This window comes from Homo sapiens, chromosome 2 (assembly GCF_000001405.40).
Source record: "Homo sapiens chromosome 2, GRCh38.p14 Primary Assembly".
Classification (NCBI taxonomy): domain Eukaryota; kingdom Metazoa; phylum Chordata; class Mammalia; order Primates; family Hominidae; genus Homo; species Homo sapiens.
The window spans coordinates 152,672,871-152,692,079 of NC_000002.12; the positions used below are offsets into that span (position 1 = coordinate 152,672,871).

General features: G+C 33.7%; 1 protein-coding gene across 28 annotated transcripts in view; it reads right to left on the reverse strand.

Moving 5' to 3' along the window:
• PRPF40A (pre-mRNA processing factor 40A) overlaps positions 1-19,209 on the reverse strand; it is a 66,288-nt gene that overhangs the window by 21,139 nt on the left and 25,940 nt on the right. For 17 of the 28 annotated variants that reach the window (NM_001395477.1, NM_001395473.1, NM_001395478.1 and 14 more), the window contains 8 exons: positions 18,092-18,108; positions 8,356-8,466; positions 6,482-6,602; positions 6,186-6,239; positions 4,581-4,605; positions 3,535-3,909; positions 728-836; positions 108-172 (listed from right to left, as the gene is read on the reverse strand). In NM_001395477.1, the coding sequence (NP_001382406.1) occupies positions 108-172; positions 728-836; positions 3,535-3,909; positions 4,581-4,605; positions 6,186-6,239; positions 6,482-6,602; positions 8,356-8,466; positions 18,092-18,108 (877 nt within the window). The remainder of the gene's footprint in view (positions 1-107; positions 173-727; positions 837-3,534; positions 3,910-4,580; positions 4,606-6,185; positions 6,240-6,481; positions 6,603-8,355; positions 8,467-18,091; positions 18,109-19,209) is intronic. The other 11 variants (NM_001395479.1, NM_001354431.4, NM_001395476.1 and 8 more) reach the window with 2 other exon arrangements.

Below are 19,209 nucleotides of genomic sequence, written 5' to 3' on the forward strand. Positions count from 1 at the left end.
CTAAACAGAAGTCAACAGTTAAATGTTTTATCTTTCTACACAACTTTAAATGTGCTAGGCCTGCTATATGCTCAAAGTGAAAAGTAAATAAAAAGTTGAAGTACTACCTGTATCGTGGATCATTAATAATCATTTTCATAGCCTGCTCCCATGAAGCATTCGATGGTACCCGCTGAAAATAATTTAAATGAAAAATTAAAATTTCACACAAGAATAGTTTAAGTCACATAATAGGAAACTGAGTATAATACTAACTGCAAACATCAAGCATTTCCCTTTGCAGGAGTTTGAAACAAGTTATAAAAAATAGTTTTTTACTGAAGGCAAATCTGTGTAATACACCTATGAACTAAAATGAAAACTTTAACTGAAATTTAAATAGAACATAAATGCTTTTTTCTTAGACTATGGATAAAAGATAACTATTATGAATTAAAAAAAAACCCTTACATTAAATATTGGGTAGAAATGTGCTTGTGTAGTACCTTGTACACAATAGTTTTTGTGTTGAAAGTTTCACAAAAGTGTACTTCAAAAAAAAAAAAAAAGACATATTTAGTTGCTTTTCAGTTACAACAGTTCATGAGATTGGTATTATCAATACCATCAAGGTTTAATTAAAGAGTAACGTCATTTGTTGGGTAATTATTACACATCACATAAAAATCCATAATACATGCTTGATGTCAAAAAGCTAAGAAACAATAAAAATCTGCAATATTAATACCTTTTCTTTCAATAATTCTTTAAAAGCTTGCTTTGCCTCTTCCTTTGTATTCCAAGTGTATGTTTTCTTTGCTGGTTGGCTCTCCTCCTCTTCTTTTTTGGGAGTAAAACTAGAGAGAAATTCAAATGTGGTATTTATCAATTAAATAAATTTTTGCTTCATTTAGAAAAATAATGTCTAAATTGTTTAAATGTTTGATGTTGAAATAAAATTTGACATTTAGAATAAAAGCTATATGAACTCTAAAAACACACTTATCTGAAGACAAAGAAATAAAGATAATCGTTTCCTAAAAGTTCAGTTATTAAATCAGTTTTTAAGACCCTGGACAAATGACAAAATAAACATTTAACTGACTTAAAACACTAGCTCCTCTGGCCCATAGGTTAATAGTTTTAAATGGCTTATTAAACTCATTCAGTGGTTTCACATTAGTGCTATAATAACTCTAAGGATTTGGGCAAGTGTGAAGATAAATAAGATGTAAGGATCAATCTAAATCAGGATTGACAAACTACAACCCACTAGACAAATTCAGCCTATTAATTTTTGTAATTATAGTTTTACTTGAAAATGCCCGCGTTCATTTGTTTACACATTATCGCTGACTGTGCTACCACAGCTGAATTGAGTCACCATATAAAGACTGTATGACACAAATAATCCAAAAATATTTCCAATCTAATATTTCATGAAAGTTTGCTGAACACTGATGTCAAACAAAAATTACAACTACCCAGAATTACTAACTTGTTTAATAATTGGGGGTTTTCCTGATGAGAAAAAAATGGTAGAAGCCTTACATTTCTTTCTACATAATAAGGGAATGCATGGGTGGGGGCCAGGGAATGAAAAAAAAATAAGTAGAACGCTTAGGCGAAGAGACACTGTAGTAGATACTGACAAAAAATGATCTCTGTTATAGTAATTAAAATCAAAAGCGTATTATGACTCAGACACTATACCAAGGAAATGCTGGAATGAAAAAAAGCAGGAAACAACTGTTTAATGTTAAACTTATGGAAAACATTGAAGAAAACTTTCAGTATGACAAGACGCAAAATAAAGTTATTCCAAAAAGCCTAAATATCTATTGATAGAGGAGCACTTCCATTTATGCACAATCAAATGATAATAACCCATCATTTGACATGATGGGTACACATTTCTATCAATGTGGAAGATGTCTCTGATATATTAGATATATGTTCGTGTATCTTAAATGTAGAGAAAAGGGGGAGAAAGTATAAAACAAAATGTTAATTTCATTTTCATGCCTTCAAATACACCATACAGATTTCTTTTAAAACTTTTGAAACATCAGAAAAAGTTAAAAATCTATTTTGACTCTGGGAAACTAACATACGAAAAACAAAAGAACACTTAAAATAGGGGATGGATGGATGAAGGCAACATGCTTAAATATTAAGATGGATAATCATGTTTCAATAATGAGATTATGGTGAACTATTCAGGCCACCCTTAAAGTCAAGAAATTTAGCTTGACCTCACTTTCTAAAGCTCTATAAAGCATAGCCATATAAAATGTACTAGACTACAGGGTATGCAAGTACACACAAACCGTGAACTCTGACAGATAACAGCTTTGCTTTATTAAAAAGTTGTATTACTATAGTCTCACTAAGAGTGAAAAGAGAGTTTTCTTGTATCTGGTGTTATCTTTTAAATGTTTCTCTACTTGACTTTCACTTAGAAAAATAATCACAGTATTATTTTAACTTGTATTTCTTTATTATTATGGCTGAATGGCTTTTCATATACTTCCTAGACAACTTTCTTTCTCTGTAAATTGCCTTTTTTCCTTGGCCAGGTGGAGTGGCTCGCACCTATAATCCCAGCATTTTGGCACGCTGAGGCAGGCCAATGAGCTAGGCATGGTGTGTGTGCCTGTAGTCCCAGCTACTCAGGAGGAGGCTGAGATGGGAGAATCGCTTGAGGCCAGGAGGTCGAGGATGCAGTGAGCCCTGATCACGTCACTGCACTCCAGCCTGGGTGACAGAGGGAGACCCTGTGCCAAAAAAAAAAAAAGAAAAAAAAAAGAGAGACAGGGTGGCCTTGCTGTCTCACCCAGGATGGAGTGCAGCGGTGCAATCATAGCTCACTGCAGCCTTGAAATCCTAGGCTCAAGTGATCCTCCTGCCTCAGCCTCCTCAGTAGCTGAGGTTACAAGTGCTGGCTAATTTTTAAATTTTTTGTAGAGACAGAGTCTTGTTATGTTGCCCACGTTGATATTAAACTCTTGGCCTCAAGTGATCCTCCTGCCTCATCCTCCCAAAGTGCTGGGATTACAGGTGTGAGCCACCATGCCCAGCCATAAACTGCTTTTTTTTCCCCCATAATTCATTTTTCTACAAAGCTGTATTTTTTTAACTGATTTATAGGAGGTTGAAACCCAAAACACCAATAACCAAAGAAGAAACAATACACCTGTCTTAACTGAAAATACTGATAGTTTGTTAATCATGAATTTTTGCACTGATCTGATGTAAAATATTGCATCAAAATATGATGTATCTTGCTTACTAAGGTTTTTGGCAATCTTTTAGATTTGTGCCCCAACTCCCTAGCCTTGGCTCTACTTGTTAAAATTTCACTGAACTATTTTTCAAGTTTGCTGGCATAACCCTCCAAAATTCGGCCTGAAAACTGATCAACTGTCTTAACGGTGATATTACGATTCTCAAAAAAATTTATTTAAACTATTAATGGCCACTAACTAAACTGGCAATTACTTTTATTTAATGCAATCTGGTACTGATTTTCAGAAGACAAGTTACTAAACTTACTCAGCTACAGTTTCTTGCTTAGATGTTTCTTCTCCAGTATTACTGGATACTTCCACACTTTGATCCTGAATAGCAGGGGTACTAGTAAGTTGTGCTTGTTCCTCAGTTGAAATAGTTACTGTATTCTCATTATCTACAACAGTAGCAACAATGGAAGTAACTTCAGGCTCAGGAACAACTGGAACAGTTCCACTGACAGTATTAGAAGCAGAAGTGGAAGCATTAGCATTGGCTGCAGCTGCTGCTGCTGCTGCCGCTGCTGCTGCTGCAACAACAGCAGCTGCTGCTTCGGCAGCAGCCATGGTGCTCATTGTGGTCGGAATTTCTGTTGTAGGGACTGGGGCTGTTGATGTTGTGGTGCACTCTTCTTGCTTACTATACATTAAAAAAAGAGAACACTGGTCATTTCATTATTGTAATCAGAAAGCTAAATAAAGGTAGCTTTAAAATGGTCATAAAATCAAATAATAAGAAAAATAATTGAAGGAAAAAACGGCAAGAAATGCCAAGCCCATTAAAAAAGATTTTAAAACCACAGAATGTAACTGTACTACTTTAATTCCGTTAACATTCATGGTAATGTATTACAGGCACTCAAAAGTTCAGTAAGCGTTCACATTTATAAAATACCCAATCTATCAGACTGTATTTACACCACGAAAAATGACCTGTATTAGAAAGTTCTCTAAGAACTTTAAATTTTCTCCAGTTTGCCCATTTAGAGGAAACCCTATATAAAGGAAGAGATACACAGATATATTTCGTCCATTCCCTAATCAACTCAAACGGAATTTGGGACTCTTCTGTAACACAGTCTTCTTAATTTGTTAAGGGATACAGTCCAAATTCTAATAATTACTGTATAGCAAAACATCAAATTGAGTAAATATCCCCCTCCCTAATTTTTCCTCAACAAAATGCTACAAGGACATCAAAATATCAAGCCTAACATGTTAATTATTTGTATTATGAAAATTGAGAAAACACAAGGATATCATAGGAGAGACCAAATTTGTAAATAAAAATTGATGTCCAAAATTGCTTACCTGCTTTCTTCAGCTTTGATCATTGCTATTAAAGAGAGAAAAAAAGTCATCTACTAGTTTTAAAATATAATCACTGAAAACAAACTTTAAAAGAAGATAAAGTATCATACAATAGGATTTCATTTACCATCCTAAAAAATAAAAAATCACTTTTACAGAACAAATTCTTGCTCCGAAAGTCTAGTATAGCAAATAAAGAATACAACAAACTTAAATAACAGTAATTACTAGGAAAGCTTATTCCATGCTGCTGCTTTCCCAAAGGCTGCTGCAACAACTCTATGAAAGTATCTGCATAATTCTGGATGAAAACTGTATTTTCTTCAGGGATGAGACTAGTTTGATATATTTTTAAGATACTAAATTCAAAATGGGATCAAATTTATTATAAAATTCCAGCACATATATACTAGCATTGACAAGTAGATAGATAGTTACGCACACCAACTATTTGTAGTAGGGTTATATCAGAAATGAGCTTGATAATTCATAAATGATCAACTGGGAATCTACCTATCTACAATATTATTATTAGCCAATGCTAGTATAGGTAACTTAAACTGAGCTTTAAAGATCTGCACAATTTCATTTTTCATTCCAGTACATTTTCCTTTGGATGTAACAAAAATACCTTTTATTTAACATTACTAGGGAATGAGGTTCTCCACATTAAGTAATAATACAAGCCTAACTCTTTATAAAAAAAATTTTTAAAACTTATCACCCTTTAAAGAAAAACATTTCTGAAAATCTGTTTAGGATGGCTGAAAAAACATACTTACAAAGTTATCATTAATAATATAAATTAACATTTTTCTGATACAATGATGATCTATCTATCTAATGAGGTGGCACAAGGAAAAGGTAAAGGGGCTTAATATGACAGTCTTTTAGGAAATTTTTATTCTCTTTTCCTGCCAGATGTCATTCCACATCACTATCTACTTTATTAGCCCCATTCTCCTACAATCTGCTGCTTCTAGTTTTGTATAATTTATGACACTAGATTCTATTAGAAGTGAGTATAAAAACTAGATTTTCAATCCTTACTTATTATCTCTATTTTAAGTCTTAGGTTTTATATTTAGTATTAAGTATTTCTAGATTTTTAAGGGTTATTCTGATTAGTTCCAATGTTGAAAAATTTTCCCTTTATAAGTAAGGCATGATACTTGGTTTACCTTAATTCTTCCATAAAGAACATATCAAGGCTATTTTGCAACACTGTGCTAAACAAAACTAGCATTAAATATATAGTCTGACAATATACTAACAAAATATAAATGGATACAGATTCAAGGTTCTCCACTATCTATTACCATGAAATGAGTTAAAACACATGTTCTATGTATGCACCACTCATAGTAGGACTTGGAAATTTTGTATATGAACTCCTTGTTCAATTGAATGATAAACGATCTTTTTTCTAAAAACCAAAGTACGACTTTAAAAGCTACAAGCTCATTTATAATATAACCCTTTAATGAAAAGAATTCTTAGAGATTTTTCACTGCAGATTTATCCAATTATGGTTAGTGAATATTAGTGACATACTCTAATAAAAATGTTAAGTATGACAGAAAATGAATTATCAAAGCAGCTCACCATGCAGGTTTGATTTTGTAATAAGACTTCCAGCAACAATGGTATTCTGGTATCCTAGTTTCAGTGGAATCAAATCAAATAAAAATCTATTTAAAATCTACAGAACTGAGATCTAAAGCAACAAGAAAATAAGAGCCCAAAAAACTGTTATACGCCATTTTAAATGTTCTAATCATTTAATTAAAAAAAAAAATAAGGCCTTTGTTTGAACAATCCTATTCTGGAGGAATTGTTTCAAAGTGAATGGCATATATATGTAAAACATATACATTGAAAACTACTTTTCCCCATTTTACCTTCAAGATCCTCAAGTTCTTTAGGTTTGGCCCAGCGAGATTCTTTTGTTTGAGAATTATAATAGTAAGGCTTTCCAGAATCTGATTTGTATTCCTTCCAGGGGCATTTAGATAAGAGTTGCTGAAAAGGAAAAAACTGTTTGTTAATAATAATATATTTAACATCACTGATCATTTACATGGCTGTTTTCACTAGAAATTACCAATTGATACAATTCTAAAACTCGTGAGATGATGGTAATAATATAAACTATCAATTATTGAATATTCACTGAGTGATGCCATTTGAATACATTATTTAATCTTTATAACACTGCAAAATGTGTAACATAATTCTGTATCTAGGGACTGTTACTTGAAGTCAGAAAGTAACTTGTTTAAGGTAATATACTCATTAAAAAGCAGAGACAAGATTCAAAACCAGTTCTATATGAATTTCAAATCCTATTTACTGTAACCATTCACACCCCATTATAGGTCAAGATTATCATCCACATTTTTTTTTTTTTTTTTTTTTGAGACGGAGTCTCGCTTTGTCACCCAGGCTGGAGTACAGTAGCTCGACCTCGGCTCACTGCAAGCTCCGCCTCTCGGGTTCACGCCATTCTCCTGCCTCAGCCTCTCTGAGTAGCTGGGACTACAGGCGCCCGCCACCACGCCCAGCTAATTTTTTGTATTTTTTTTTAGTAGAGACGGGGTTTCACCGTGGTCTCGAACTCCTGACCTCGTGATCCGCCCGCCTCGGCCTCCCAAAGTGCTGGGATTACAAGTGTGAGCCACCGCGCCCGGCCTATCATCCACATTTAACAGACTTCTCTGATACTAATATTAGTTGGAAAACCATAAAAGTTCAAAAAAAACAAAATCTAATTTAGTCATGCTTAGATTTCAGTTTCGTAGTTTATGAACGAATTAACTTATTATGTAAGAAAACATGTAGGTATAATATACTTAAAATCGAATAAACAAAACCTGTTAGGGTAGTATGAGAAATCTATTCAAAGTGTGAATCCAAACAGAGTGTCTTGGACAAAGTATGTAATTAATATCATTGGCTATAAATCAGTACTGGAATACATGTTTTTAAAAATCGTCCGACCTCCCCTCCCAAGCACTGCTGTTCATGTTAGTACAGCAACCTGGAAAATACTTTTACCTTCTCAAATTCCTTAATTAGGAAGAGAAGAAAACAAAAAGGTATACCACCAGCTAGGATGAAACTTAAGCATAGCCTGGAGTGCCAGATCAACTCTTACTTACTTAGCACCCCAGAGTTTCTAATTAAACAACATGTGACATTGCTTAATTCAGTTTATTCCTTCAACCTTAACTTTTTCTTCAATATCTGTATATTTTGAATGGTAAAACTTGTAACAAAAAACAAAATAAAAACACACTTTTTAAAAGGGCATTTCCTGCAAAGAGAAAACTTCCCACTCTAAGAGAAGGAAGTATTTGTAGGTAACTTAATTTCATCTCCACTACCCTTAACCCTACTGGAAATTTAAGAACTCAGTAGAAGTCATTTAAAATCACCCAGTTTTGCTATCAGAAAAAAAAGCCAGCGGCAGGCAAAGAAACAGTCTTCCCCACTTCCAATTTATTCTTTAAATCACCTTTTTAAAATTGATCCCACTCTACTAGGTTTTCTAAGCAGGGGTAAAATCAGTAAATAAAATTATTCTGTTGAGTTTTATTGCTCTTCTTCCCGATTGGTGTGACTATACTAACCCTCTTTTTTTCTGAATGTCTTTACAGATCCTCTTCTGACATTTAAGCAGTACTGCTCTTTGATAATCGACTACTTATAGAATCCTAAAAAATACGCCCCAGTCTACTTGACAGTCCCTGAATTCCAGCTCTCAAACTTTTACCTCAGCAGGTGTTTTAAGATCATCTGGTTTCTCCCAGGTAGACTGTTTGGTTTCAGTGTTGTAGTAGTAAGTCCTTCCATCAGGTGATTTATGTTCAGTCCACATTGATTTCTAAAGAATAAAGATTAAAAAAGATGTAAATTATGTAACAATGCCATTGACAATATCAGTATCATTAGTTCCAAGGCAATAAATATATTAAGAAATCAATCAAAAGTAAAAACTGGGCATATTTTGACAGTTTAAGTAATCTAGAATAATTCATCAATACAAGTAGGAAGGGAACTGAAAAACAAGGTTTTTAGAGTACTTCAAAAGCAGCAAGGGTAAATTCAAGTTTCAGGATCTCTCTGAATTACAAAGATAAGACTACTCTCCTAAGAACAGTAACTTTATAGCTTACATACAAAAGACAATCTTTCAGAATACAAATCTGTGCCTAGTGGATAAAGAAAATATAGGAACTAGATGCTAATATATTTGAACTGACTATGTGATCATCTATTCATCTACTGTAGTCCAAGGAATACTTGTATCAACTTAGACAAAGTTCTAATTGATATTCCATAAAGAAAGACACAGCTGTCAAAACACAGCTTCTGGACAACAATCAGAATTTAACTATCAACAAGATGAAATTTAACAGGGATAAAATGTGTATGTGAATGCCTCAAAACAAGATAGGTGAGATAAAATTTTACATGAATGAAACTACAGAATATAAATCCACTATTAAGGTCAACAGAACACACTAAGAACCTACTAGAAGTTGCTAATGATACTCCAGGCAACACTAGACATCCCTCAGATAAAAGTTGGTTAAAAGTTTTAAAAGGCATCATGAATGAATGATTTACTAAATGATATCAAAGGTAGTAAACCTAGTTTCAAGCACCAGATTTTCCAGATGGTGACAAATTTAACTATGCTTGAAGGGTTACAAAAATGATTTATATAATATTCCCTCAAATCTAAGACATATTATTGTACAAACCTCTTAAGAAAAAATAAAATCGCTGTCAAATGACCCTATGCTTTTTTACCAGATTTTACTTCAAACTTATTGAAAGTTAGTCTTACTTCCACATTAATTTTACCATATACCACTTTTATGCATACATAATGAGAAAAATAGGCAAATAAAGTACTTAAGAGATCCCTTAAATTTCCTCACACTGAGACTTTCTGTGTCAGAGTTGCTGATATCCATTATATTCCAAATATAAGCCCTTTAGCATCAAATACGTTGGTAATATAGTATATCTTTAAAAAAAATCATAAAACAAGTGAAAAATCACTGGTACTGGTTCTTAATGTCTTTTGTACCTATTTAAAACGCTGATTTTTTATTTTTTTCTTATCAACTTTAAAGAGTAAGAGCTGACCTAGTTTTGACTTCTGTTTTGGGAATGTGACTGAACATATGTGATTCATTTCTTTACCAATTTTTTCACCATAATCATTTTATTCCTAGCTCCTAAGGGAGTGCCATTACTTTTATAATTTTCTTTGAAACCAGTGACATCCATTCTTTTGATGTGGGCACTTTTGCTGTTTACTCATGCACAACTGCTACCCTGACAACGGAGGTCACAGACACTATGGATTACAGCAGGGGTCTCCAACCCCGAGGCCATGGACTATGGAGCAGTTCCAGTCCGTGGCCTGTTGGGAACCGGGCCGCACAGCAGGAGGTGAGCAGTGGGTGAGCGAGCAAAGCTTCATCTGTATTTGCAGGCGCTCTCCATCACTCGCATTACCTCATGAGCTCTGCCTCCTGTCCTATCAGTGGTGGCATTAGTTTCTCATAGGAGTGCAAACCCTATCGTGAACTGTGCATGTGAGGCTGCATGCTCCTTATGAGAATCTAATGCCTGATGATCTGTCACTGTCTCCCAACTAGATGGTCCCATCTGCAATAAATTTCTGCATGCTGTAGCAGGATAATTAGATAATTCCAAAGCTGTGTTAAATTCTAGCACTTTAAAATGGATAAAATCACCATAATATCTCCAAAGCAAATATAAAACAGGTGCTGGAAAAATCTCCAAAGCAAATATAAAAACAGGTGGTGGAAAAATAATCTGGCTTTCTGCTATTAGCCTGCTTTAACTTCTTTTCATCAAAAGGTGGTGCAATTAGAAACACAAATGTGGAAACTTCGACTATATGGTAATGCTTTATTTCACAAATTAAATGGTGTTAAGACAGATAAAGGGGTTTATATTTTCCTTTTAAAAACAACTAATGATGTCAGTAGCATCTCAAAACTGCACCATCACCACTTAAACAGAGTTCTACCATAAGCTGCAAAACTGTGTAGACTATGTTCAACTTTTCAAGTCACATCTGCTAAGGAGCATCAAGGAAAGAGCAAAATCAGCAAAACCACAAGGAGATAAAAGAATAAAAAAGAAAAGGACACTGTATAGTTGACCAAATGATGAGGAGGGAGAGGAGACACAAGCTAATAAAACAAATAGAAATCAACTTAATATTCTCTAACTATTTATTTGAGCCTTATAACTAATTACACTACAAAGCAGGTATAATCACTATCTTTCTACAGATAAGAAAACCAAGGTTTAGCAAGGCTGGTAACTTGCTCATAGGGACTTGGGAAATGACACTAGAACATCGAGCTGCTTTTCAAGACCACAATTATTTTATTACCAACAGTTATTATGCTAATAAAAAAATTAGATATGAAACAGCAGTTCTGGGAACTGAATTAAAACAACTTTTTTGGGGGAGTAGGTAGATAAACTGGGAGTGTATCAGCAAAATAAGGGATAAAATTATCCTTACTATATCTACAATCAATATGAAAACACAGTCTAATGGAAAAATAAACATGGCCATAGACAGAATACAGTTATTATATTAGATGTTCAACTTCACTAGCCAATCAAAAAACCACACATTAATAAAAACTTTTTGCTCATCAGATAAATGACAAAGACCATTAATATACAATGCGAAAGGTGTGTGAGAAAAAGGGTACTTTTTCTCACTCTCATGTGTTACTGTTGGGAATGAAATTAGCATAAAGGCAATTCAGCAGTTCTTACAAATATTAAAAATGCAAACATCACCGCTTGAACCTGAAATTTCACTCTGAAAACTTCCATTCATATTGTTGCAAACATGTACAAGGACGTTATTTATAATATTACGTGTAATGGTGAAAAATTACAGTTAACTCAATGTACACCCATAGGAAAACAGGTCAATTATGGTCCATTCGTATTACTGATTATCCTATTTGTAATAAGATAGAAAATGTCTAAAATGCAGTGCCAAATGATACAGTGGCAAAAATTTATACAGAAAAATCATTTGAAATGCAAAGAAAACTGGGCATAAGGAAAAAAGCATACACATGTAACTATCACAAGTAATAAGCTCTTCAGAGTCAGAAAAAGCTAGTCAACAAGACACAACAGTTTTAAAGAAATTCAATATACTCAAACTCAACCTTCTGTGTGTCATGGAGACAAACACATATACACACACATTTGTACAATGTATAAACTGAATTTATGAAAACTTAGAAAAAATGGCTAAATCCAAACACTGAATAGAAAAATCCCCTCACTACTCTAAATAAGGAAAATATTAAAAAGCCGTTCAGGTATGGTGGCTCACACCTGTAATCCCAGCACTTTGGGAGGCTGAGATGGGCAAATCACCTGAGGTCAGGAGTTCAAGACCAGCCTGGCTAACATGGTGAAACCCCGTTTTCTACTGAAAATACAAAAAATTAGCTAGGCGTGGTGGCACACGCCTGTAATTCCAGCTACTCAGGAGGCTGAGGCAGGAGAATCACCTGAACCCGGGAGGCAGAGGTTGCAGTGAGCCAAGATCGCACCATTGCACTCCAGCTTGGGTAACGAGCAAAACTCTGTCTCAAAAAAAAAAAAAAAGAAAAAGCCAAATAATAAACAGAATTGAGGAAAAATACAATCACAGATACAGATTTACAACCAATCAAAACCTAGAGAAAATGATTTCCAAGCAAATCACTTAACCAAAATTGACCCCAGAAAAAGCACATCACACTTGAACATCCCAACAACACAGACACAACAGAAAGATACAAAACCAGATGGTTTCACAGCAGAATGTTATACAACCTTTAAAGAACACAGAATTGCAATGTTACATCATGATTTCAGATTATGGGGAAAAAAAGATGAAATGCTCTCCATTAATTAACAAGAAGCAGAAAAGATACCAGAAGAGCATCATGAATTTAAATTTAACAACATACACACTCTGACCAAGCAGAATTTACTGTAGAAGTGCAAGAGTAGTTCAATATTAGAAAATCTACAGAAGAAATTATTTCCACTATCTAATCAAATGAAAAAAAAAAAAAACACGTGATCCCACTATTAAACTTTGTATGATCAAATCACACCCAGAAAACTAAGTTCACAAGTATTCAAAAAATAAAAAAATAAAAGCAAAATGCTCAAATGAAATAATTTAAGAAATAAAAAACCTAAATGATTAAAAGGCAATCAGTTATCACCCTAAAGCCACTTCCATTAAAATCACAAAAACATGCCTGGAATCACTAAAATTCTAGCAAATATACCACAGCAATAAAATGAAATTACTGGTGTAAATTTTGGAGAAGTAAAGTTCTCTTGCCTTTACTGCTATTTTTACACATATAAAATTCCAGTGAAATCTAGTTACAGTTTTAAAATACTATTTGAATTGATAAGGAAATCTGGTAATGTCATTGGTTACAAGACAAATACACAAAATAATCTGAATAGACGATAACCAGGTTAAAATAAAAATAGGAAAAATACTGTACTCACAATGTAACAACTTTTTCTTTTTTTTTTTTTTGAGAAAGGGTCTCACTCTGTTGCCCAGGCAGGAGTGCAGTGGCAAGATCACAGCTCACTGCAGCCTCAAGCTTCTGGGCTCAAAAGATCCTCCCTCCTGAGCCTCCTGAGTAGCTGGGACTACAGATACACACCACTATGCTGGGCTAATTTTTTATTTTTTGTAGAGACAGGGTCTCACTTTGTTTTCCAGGCTTGTAATACATTTTTACAATGCAAACAGAAACTTTAAAAATAGGGTACCTATTTACCTTACCTAAACAGAATTTAAAACAAAAATCATAATGGAAAAGTGGGAGACTATATACTGGTAAAAAGTAACAGATCAAAAATTATCCTAAACACATATGCATATGGCAATTTAACCTTGAAATTCAGACAGGCAACAGAAAAATACAGGGAGAAACAGATGACTCATCTTTTCTAGTTAAAGATTTTAATTCACTATCTTCTTATGTAGATCCAAGCAGATGAAAGACATGCCAAGATGCAGGAATAACAAAGTAACTTTATATAGCACACAGAATATTCTTAAAAACTAGCCCTGAACAAGAACATACATGAAGCTTTAATAAACTGTAAAGAACTTTACATCTTACAGACTGTACTTTCTGATCATAATGCAATAAGGATAGCTCATAAAAAAAAAAGTTCCCCAAAGATACAATCCATGAAATAATTGATAGGCTGAAAGAACAGATTTAGTTTTCATTAAAGTTAGAAACTTCTGCTCTGTTAAAGATAGTCTGAAGAATGAGAAGATAAGCCACAAACTTGGAGAAAATAGTTGCAAAAGACTTAATATGATAAAAACCTGTTATCTCAAAACTCTACAATAATAAAACAATCTGATTAAAAAATAGGCAAAAGATCCAAAGAAACACTTTCCCAAAGATGTAAGGATGGCAAATAAAAAGATGCTCCACATCACATATAATTAGCCACAAATTAAAGCAAGATACATTACACACCTACTAAAATGGCAAAAGTCCAAAACACTGATATTATCAAATGTTGGTGAAGGTGTGGTATACCAGAAATTCTCATTCATTGCTGTTAGGAATTCAGAGTGGTGCAGCCACTTTGGAAGACAATTTCAAGGTTTCTTAACAAAACTAAACATACTCTTACAACACAATCCAGCAATAGTGCTCCTCGTTATTAATATCTACCCAAATTAGCTGAAAACTTACGTTCACACAGAAAACCTGCACATGGATGCTTTACTCATAATGACCAAATCTTGGGAACAACCAAAACGTTCTTCAGTACATAATGGATCTGGATGTGGTACATCCAGATAATGAGTATTATTCAGTGAGAAAAAGAAATGAAGTATCAAGCCATAAAAAGACAATGGAGGAAACTTAAATGCATATTACTAAGTAAAACAAGCCAATCTGAAAAGGCTACATACTGTATGATTCCAACTATATGAAATTCTTAGAAAAGCAAAACTACGGAGGCAGAAAAACAAACAAACAAACAAACAAAAACAATGGTTGCTGGAGTAGAAGAGGAAGAAATGAATAGGCAGAGCACCAATTTTTAGAGCAATGAAACTATTCTGTGTGATACTGCAAGGGCTGATACATACATATTCATTATACATTTGTCAAAATATATAGAATGTACAATATTAACAGTAAACCCTGATATAAACTGTACTTTGGATGGTAACAATTTGTCAATGTATATTCACCAATTGTAACGTATGCACCAATCTGGTGTGATATGCTGACAGTGTGGGAGAGCAGTAAGTTATGTGTTGGGGTGGGGGGGCCTATAATCTGGGAACTCAACTGTCCACTTTATTTTGCTATAAACCTAAAACTGCTCTAAAAAAACAGTTATCTATTTTTTAAACAAAAGTCCCATGTCTGGAAACCAAGAAAAACATACCCCTTAATAAAGAAAAAAAAGATTTTTTTTGAGATGGGGTCTCCCTACTAATGTGCGGTGGTGGCGTGATCTCGGCTCACTGCAGCCTGGATCTTCCTGGGCTCAAGCAATTCTCCCACCTCAGCCTCCCAAGTTGCTGGGACTACAGGTGTGTGCCACCATGCCTGGCTAATTTTTGTATTTTTGTAGAGATGGGGTTTCACCATGTTACCCTGGCTGATCTCAAACTCCTGGGCTCAAGAAATCCTCCCACTTCTGGCTCCTAAAGTGCTAGGGTTACAGGTGTAAGCCACTGCACCTGGCCAGGAAAAGTATTAATATTGGTTTAGAAAAACACAAACAGAAATAAACAGTGGAAAAGGAAACACAGATATAAATCCCAGAATATATGAGAATTTAAGATATGACAATAAAGAGCTTTCAATTAAAGTCAGAAAAAATTTTTTGATAGCTGACACAACTGGCTATCCATCTTATAGACAGATATTCCAGATGAATCAAACACTTAATGATAAATAAAGCAATAAGAATCTTCCAAGAAAATGTAAGAATGAGGAAACCTTTGTAAAAACTTCAATAAACGCATTAGCTAAAAATGATAACCTATCTAATTACCACATTAACATACTAAAAGGTTGTGTGGCAAGATCATTAAAAGCAAAATCAACAGACCAATGACAGACTAAGAAAAATATTTGAAATTCATGATTATTAAAGGGTTAACATCAATAACATTAGAAAAAACTCTTAAAATGAAATTTACAAGAAAAAATAAAAAATAACCCAACCTAAAAACAGGAAAGGACAGGGATAGGTTAACAGAAGAGAAATCCAAATACCAAATAAAATGTTCAATCTCATTAAGAGTCAAAGAAGAACTATCACTTTAAACCCATGTCCACTCACTAAAATTCAAATAAGTGATACTGGCTATTGCTGCTAGAGATTCTTGAAGAAAAAGACATGTTACTACACCATTATTAGATATGTCTTTTACATTCTTGAAAAACAACATGACTAGTTACATACTCTCCATTCCAAATATGTTATTCCTGGAATACTTCTTAGGTGTTAAAAAAAAAAAAATTCATAATTGGGAGGGGATCCAACATGTAAATTGAATTTCCATTAATAAGTGAATGGTTTAATGTGTCTCTATGGCAAAGAATACTTTATAAAGTCATTTAAAAAATTACATCTACATTAAGGAACTTACACAGATTTTCACAATAAAGTTTTAAACAAGAAAAAGTGTATTTAACAAGTAACTTAAGCATATGTAATGTGAACCAATTATGTAAAATGTGTATGTATTTGTCTATGCTTAAGTAACATGCAAAAAGATCTTCAGATAAGATATTAATGGTGGTTCCCTCATGGTCAAAAAATTAAGGATGAATTTTACTTTCTTTTTAACTTATGTCTGCTTTGTTTTCCTCCCAATGAGCCTGCATTACTTAAATAAGAAAACAAACAAACAAACCATTAAGTTATCCTTTCTCAAAAATAAAAGCAGGTACTTATAGTAGAATAATACCAAATGGGCTGGGCGTAGTGGCTCATGCCTGTAATCCCAGCACTTTGGGAGGCCGAGGTGGGCGGATCACTTGAGGACAGGAGTTCAAGACCATCCTGGGCAACAAGGTGAAACCCCATCTCTACAAAATACAAAAATTAGCCAGGCATGGTGGCACATGCCTGTCGTCCCAGCTACTCAAGAGGCTGAGGCAGGAGAAACGCTTGAACCTGGAAGGCGGAGGTTGCAGTAAGCCACTGCACTCCAGCCTGGGCAACAGAGACTCTGTCTCAAAAACAAACAAACAAGCAAAAAAAAAAAAAAAAAAAAAGATATTTTGCAACCATTTAACTTTTAAGGCAAAAGACACAAGAATGTTTTAAAAACATTTAAATACAATTCTTAATTTAAAATTTTCTCCCCAAATGCGAAAAATAACGTATTTGCAATCAATTCCGTTAATTGTAACAGTAGCATAACAGCTACCTCTCAGGAACGTTATGATTAAATGAGATTATAAACAAAACTCTTCCTTCCATTGATCTTTAAGGAATAGCAAAATAAAAAAAAAATCCTTGAAGCTAAAGCATGGACTAATATCAAGAAGCATAAAATAGCTATCTTTAAATATTATTCTCTCCTTTCCTAAATAAAAATCAATGCTATTCTGAATATTCCATTTTTCTTTCTAACACAGTGTTAAGAAGGTATAACAAAAGGGTTTTTTAAATTAAGGTACATAAATTTTCATTTATATATACATACATACATACATATATATATATATGTAAAATTATCATCTAACATCTGTCGGGCACTGTGGCTCACGCCTGTAATCCCAGCACTTTGGGAGGCTAAGGCGGTCAGATCACTTGAGGCCAGGAGTTCAAGACCAGCCTGGCCAACATGGCAAAACCCCACCTCTACTAAAAATATAAAAATTAGTCGGGCATGCTGGCGGGCGCCTGTAGCCCAGCTACTCGGGAGGCTGAGACATGAGAATCACTTGAACCCAGGAGGCGGAGACTGCAGTGAGCTAAGATCTCATCACTGCACTCCAGTCTTAGTGACAGAGCAAGGCTGTGTCTCAAAAAAAAAAAAAAAAAAAAAAAAAAAAAAAAAAAAAAGATTATCTCCTAATGTAATGCTTAACTTGTAATTACTAGGTTAAGCACTGTGTACCTACAAGTTCTGCTTCCCTTCTAATTGTGATGGGAAGAATTTAAATCCTTTTAAAAGTTGATACATGTAATTCTCATCTCTCATTAAGTCCCACCAAAACCAGATTTTAAAATAAATCAATTTTTCAATCCTTGTCATAGAAAAAAAGGGGAAAACTATGGATTAATGTAAAGATTTAGCAGATAATCCTTAGAACAGAAATAAGAATAACTGTAAAGTAGGTTAAAGTATAGTAAAATTAAAATATTACAAAGGTTAAAAGAGTACTTACTGCACCAGATGCTGTACCTAAAAAATAAAAAACAGGCAAAATATTTACACCATGATAAATCATGCTCTCCTTCATAATAGCTTTAATATTTATTCATATATTCATAGTACTTACTCCTCCTCATCCTCTCTAAAGATTTTGAGACTGTCTCATATAACCTAAGTGCTTGCTATCTTTCCCACAAAATAAACATCTATAGTGCAAAACATGCTCAGAGTTTGAACTTTCAATGCACAAACTTACTTGGACTCACTTGGAGGCAGTTTGATAAGTATTCAACTTAGCCTTTTGTTTCTCTTTTCCCTACTATAATAGGTATCTATCTTTCTTATTCCTCCTTCTCTACTAAGTATATTACCAAAGCACAATAACACCTCTAACCACTGATTCTATAGCTTTAGATTCCTGGTAACTTTATCTAAATTCCAGATTTGTGCTGTAAAATACAGTAGCGAGCAGACACCAGACATCCCTTTAAATTAAAATTTAAATTAAGATTAAATAAAATTTTAAAAATTCAGTTCCTCAGCTGCACCAGCCACACTTCAAATACACAATAATTACATGTGTCTAGTGGCTACTGTATTAAGCAGTACAGATTACAGAACATTTCCATCACTGCAGAAAGTTCTATTAGATGGTACTGTCCTATACTACTATAGAAAACTCAAGGGATTTTGAAATGCATGTTAGTCACAAAACTCCTAATAATAATCTCAAACTTTAGAAACTAGTAATTTAAACATGTAAATAAAAAAAGACGGAGATTGTATGTAAAACAAAACAAAACAAAGTTCATATATACTGAGTACACTCAAAAGAAGCTACTATAGAAAATAACTGTAGAGCCAAAGCGTATTAAAAGTAACTAAAAAAAAAAAATTATGTAATTTTCCAAGATTACTGAGGGTAACAGTACCCAGCTCTGGATATCTAAATAAAAGAAAATAATTGTATTAGGTATTTAAGAACATTTTAAATAATGAAATCTGTGAAACATCTTAAAAAAATCAATTTAGTCCCATTTGAACCCACAGAAAGGCACACAGTACATTTTCAACACCTTTCGACCAATACTGTTTATAACAAAAAAAATATTGTCATAATTGTGTCATAAA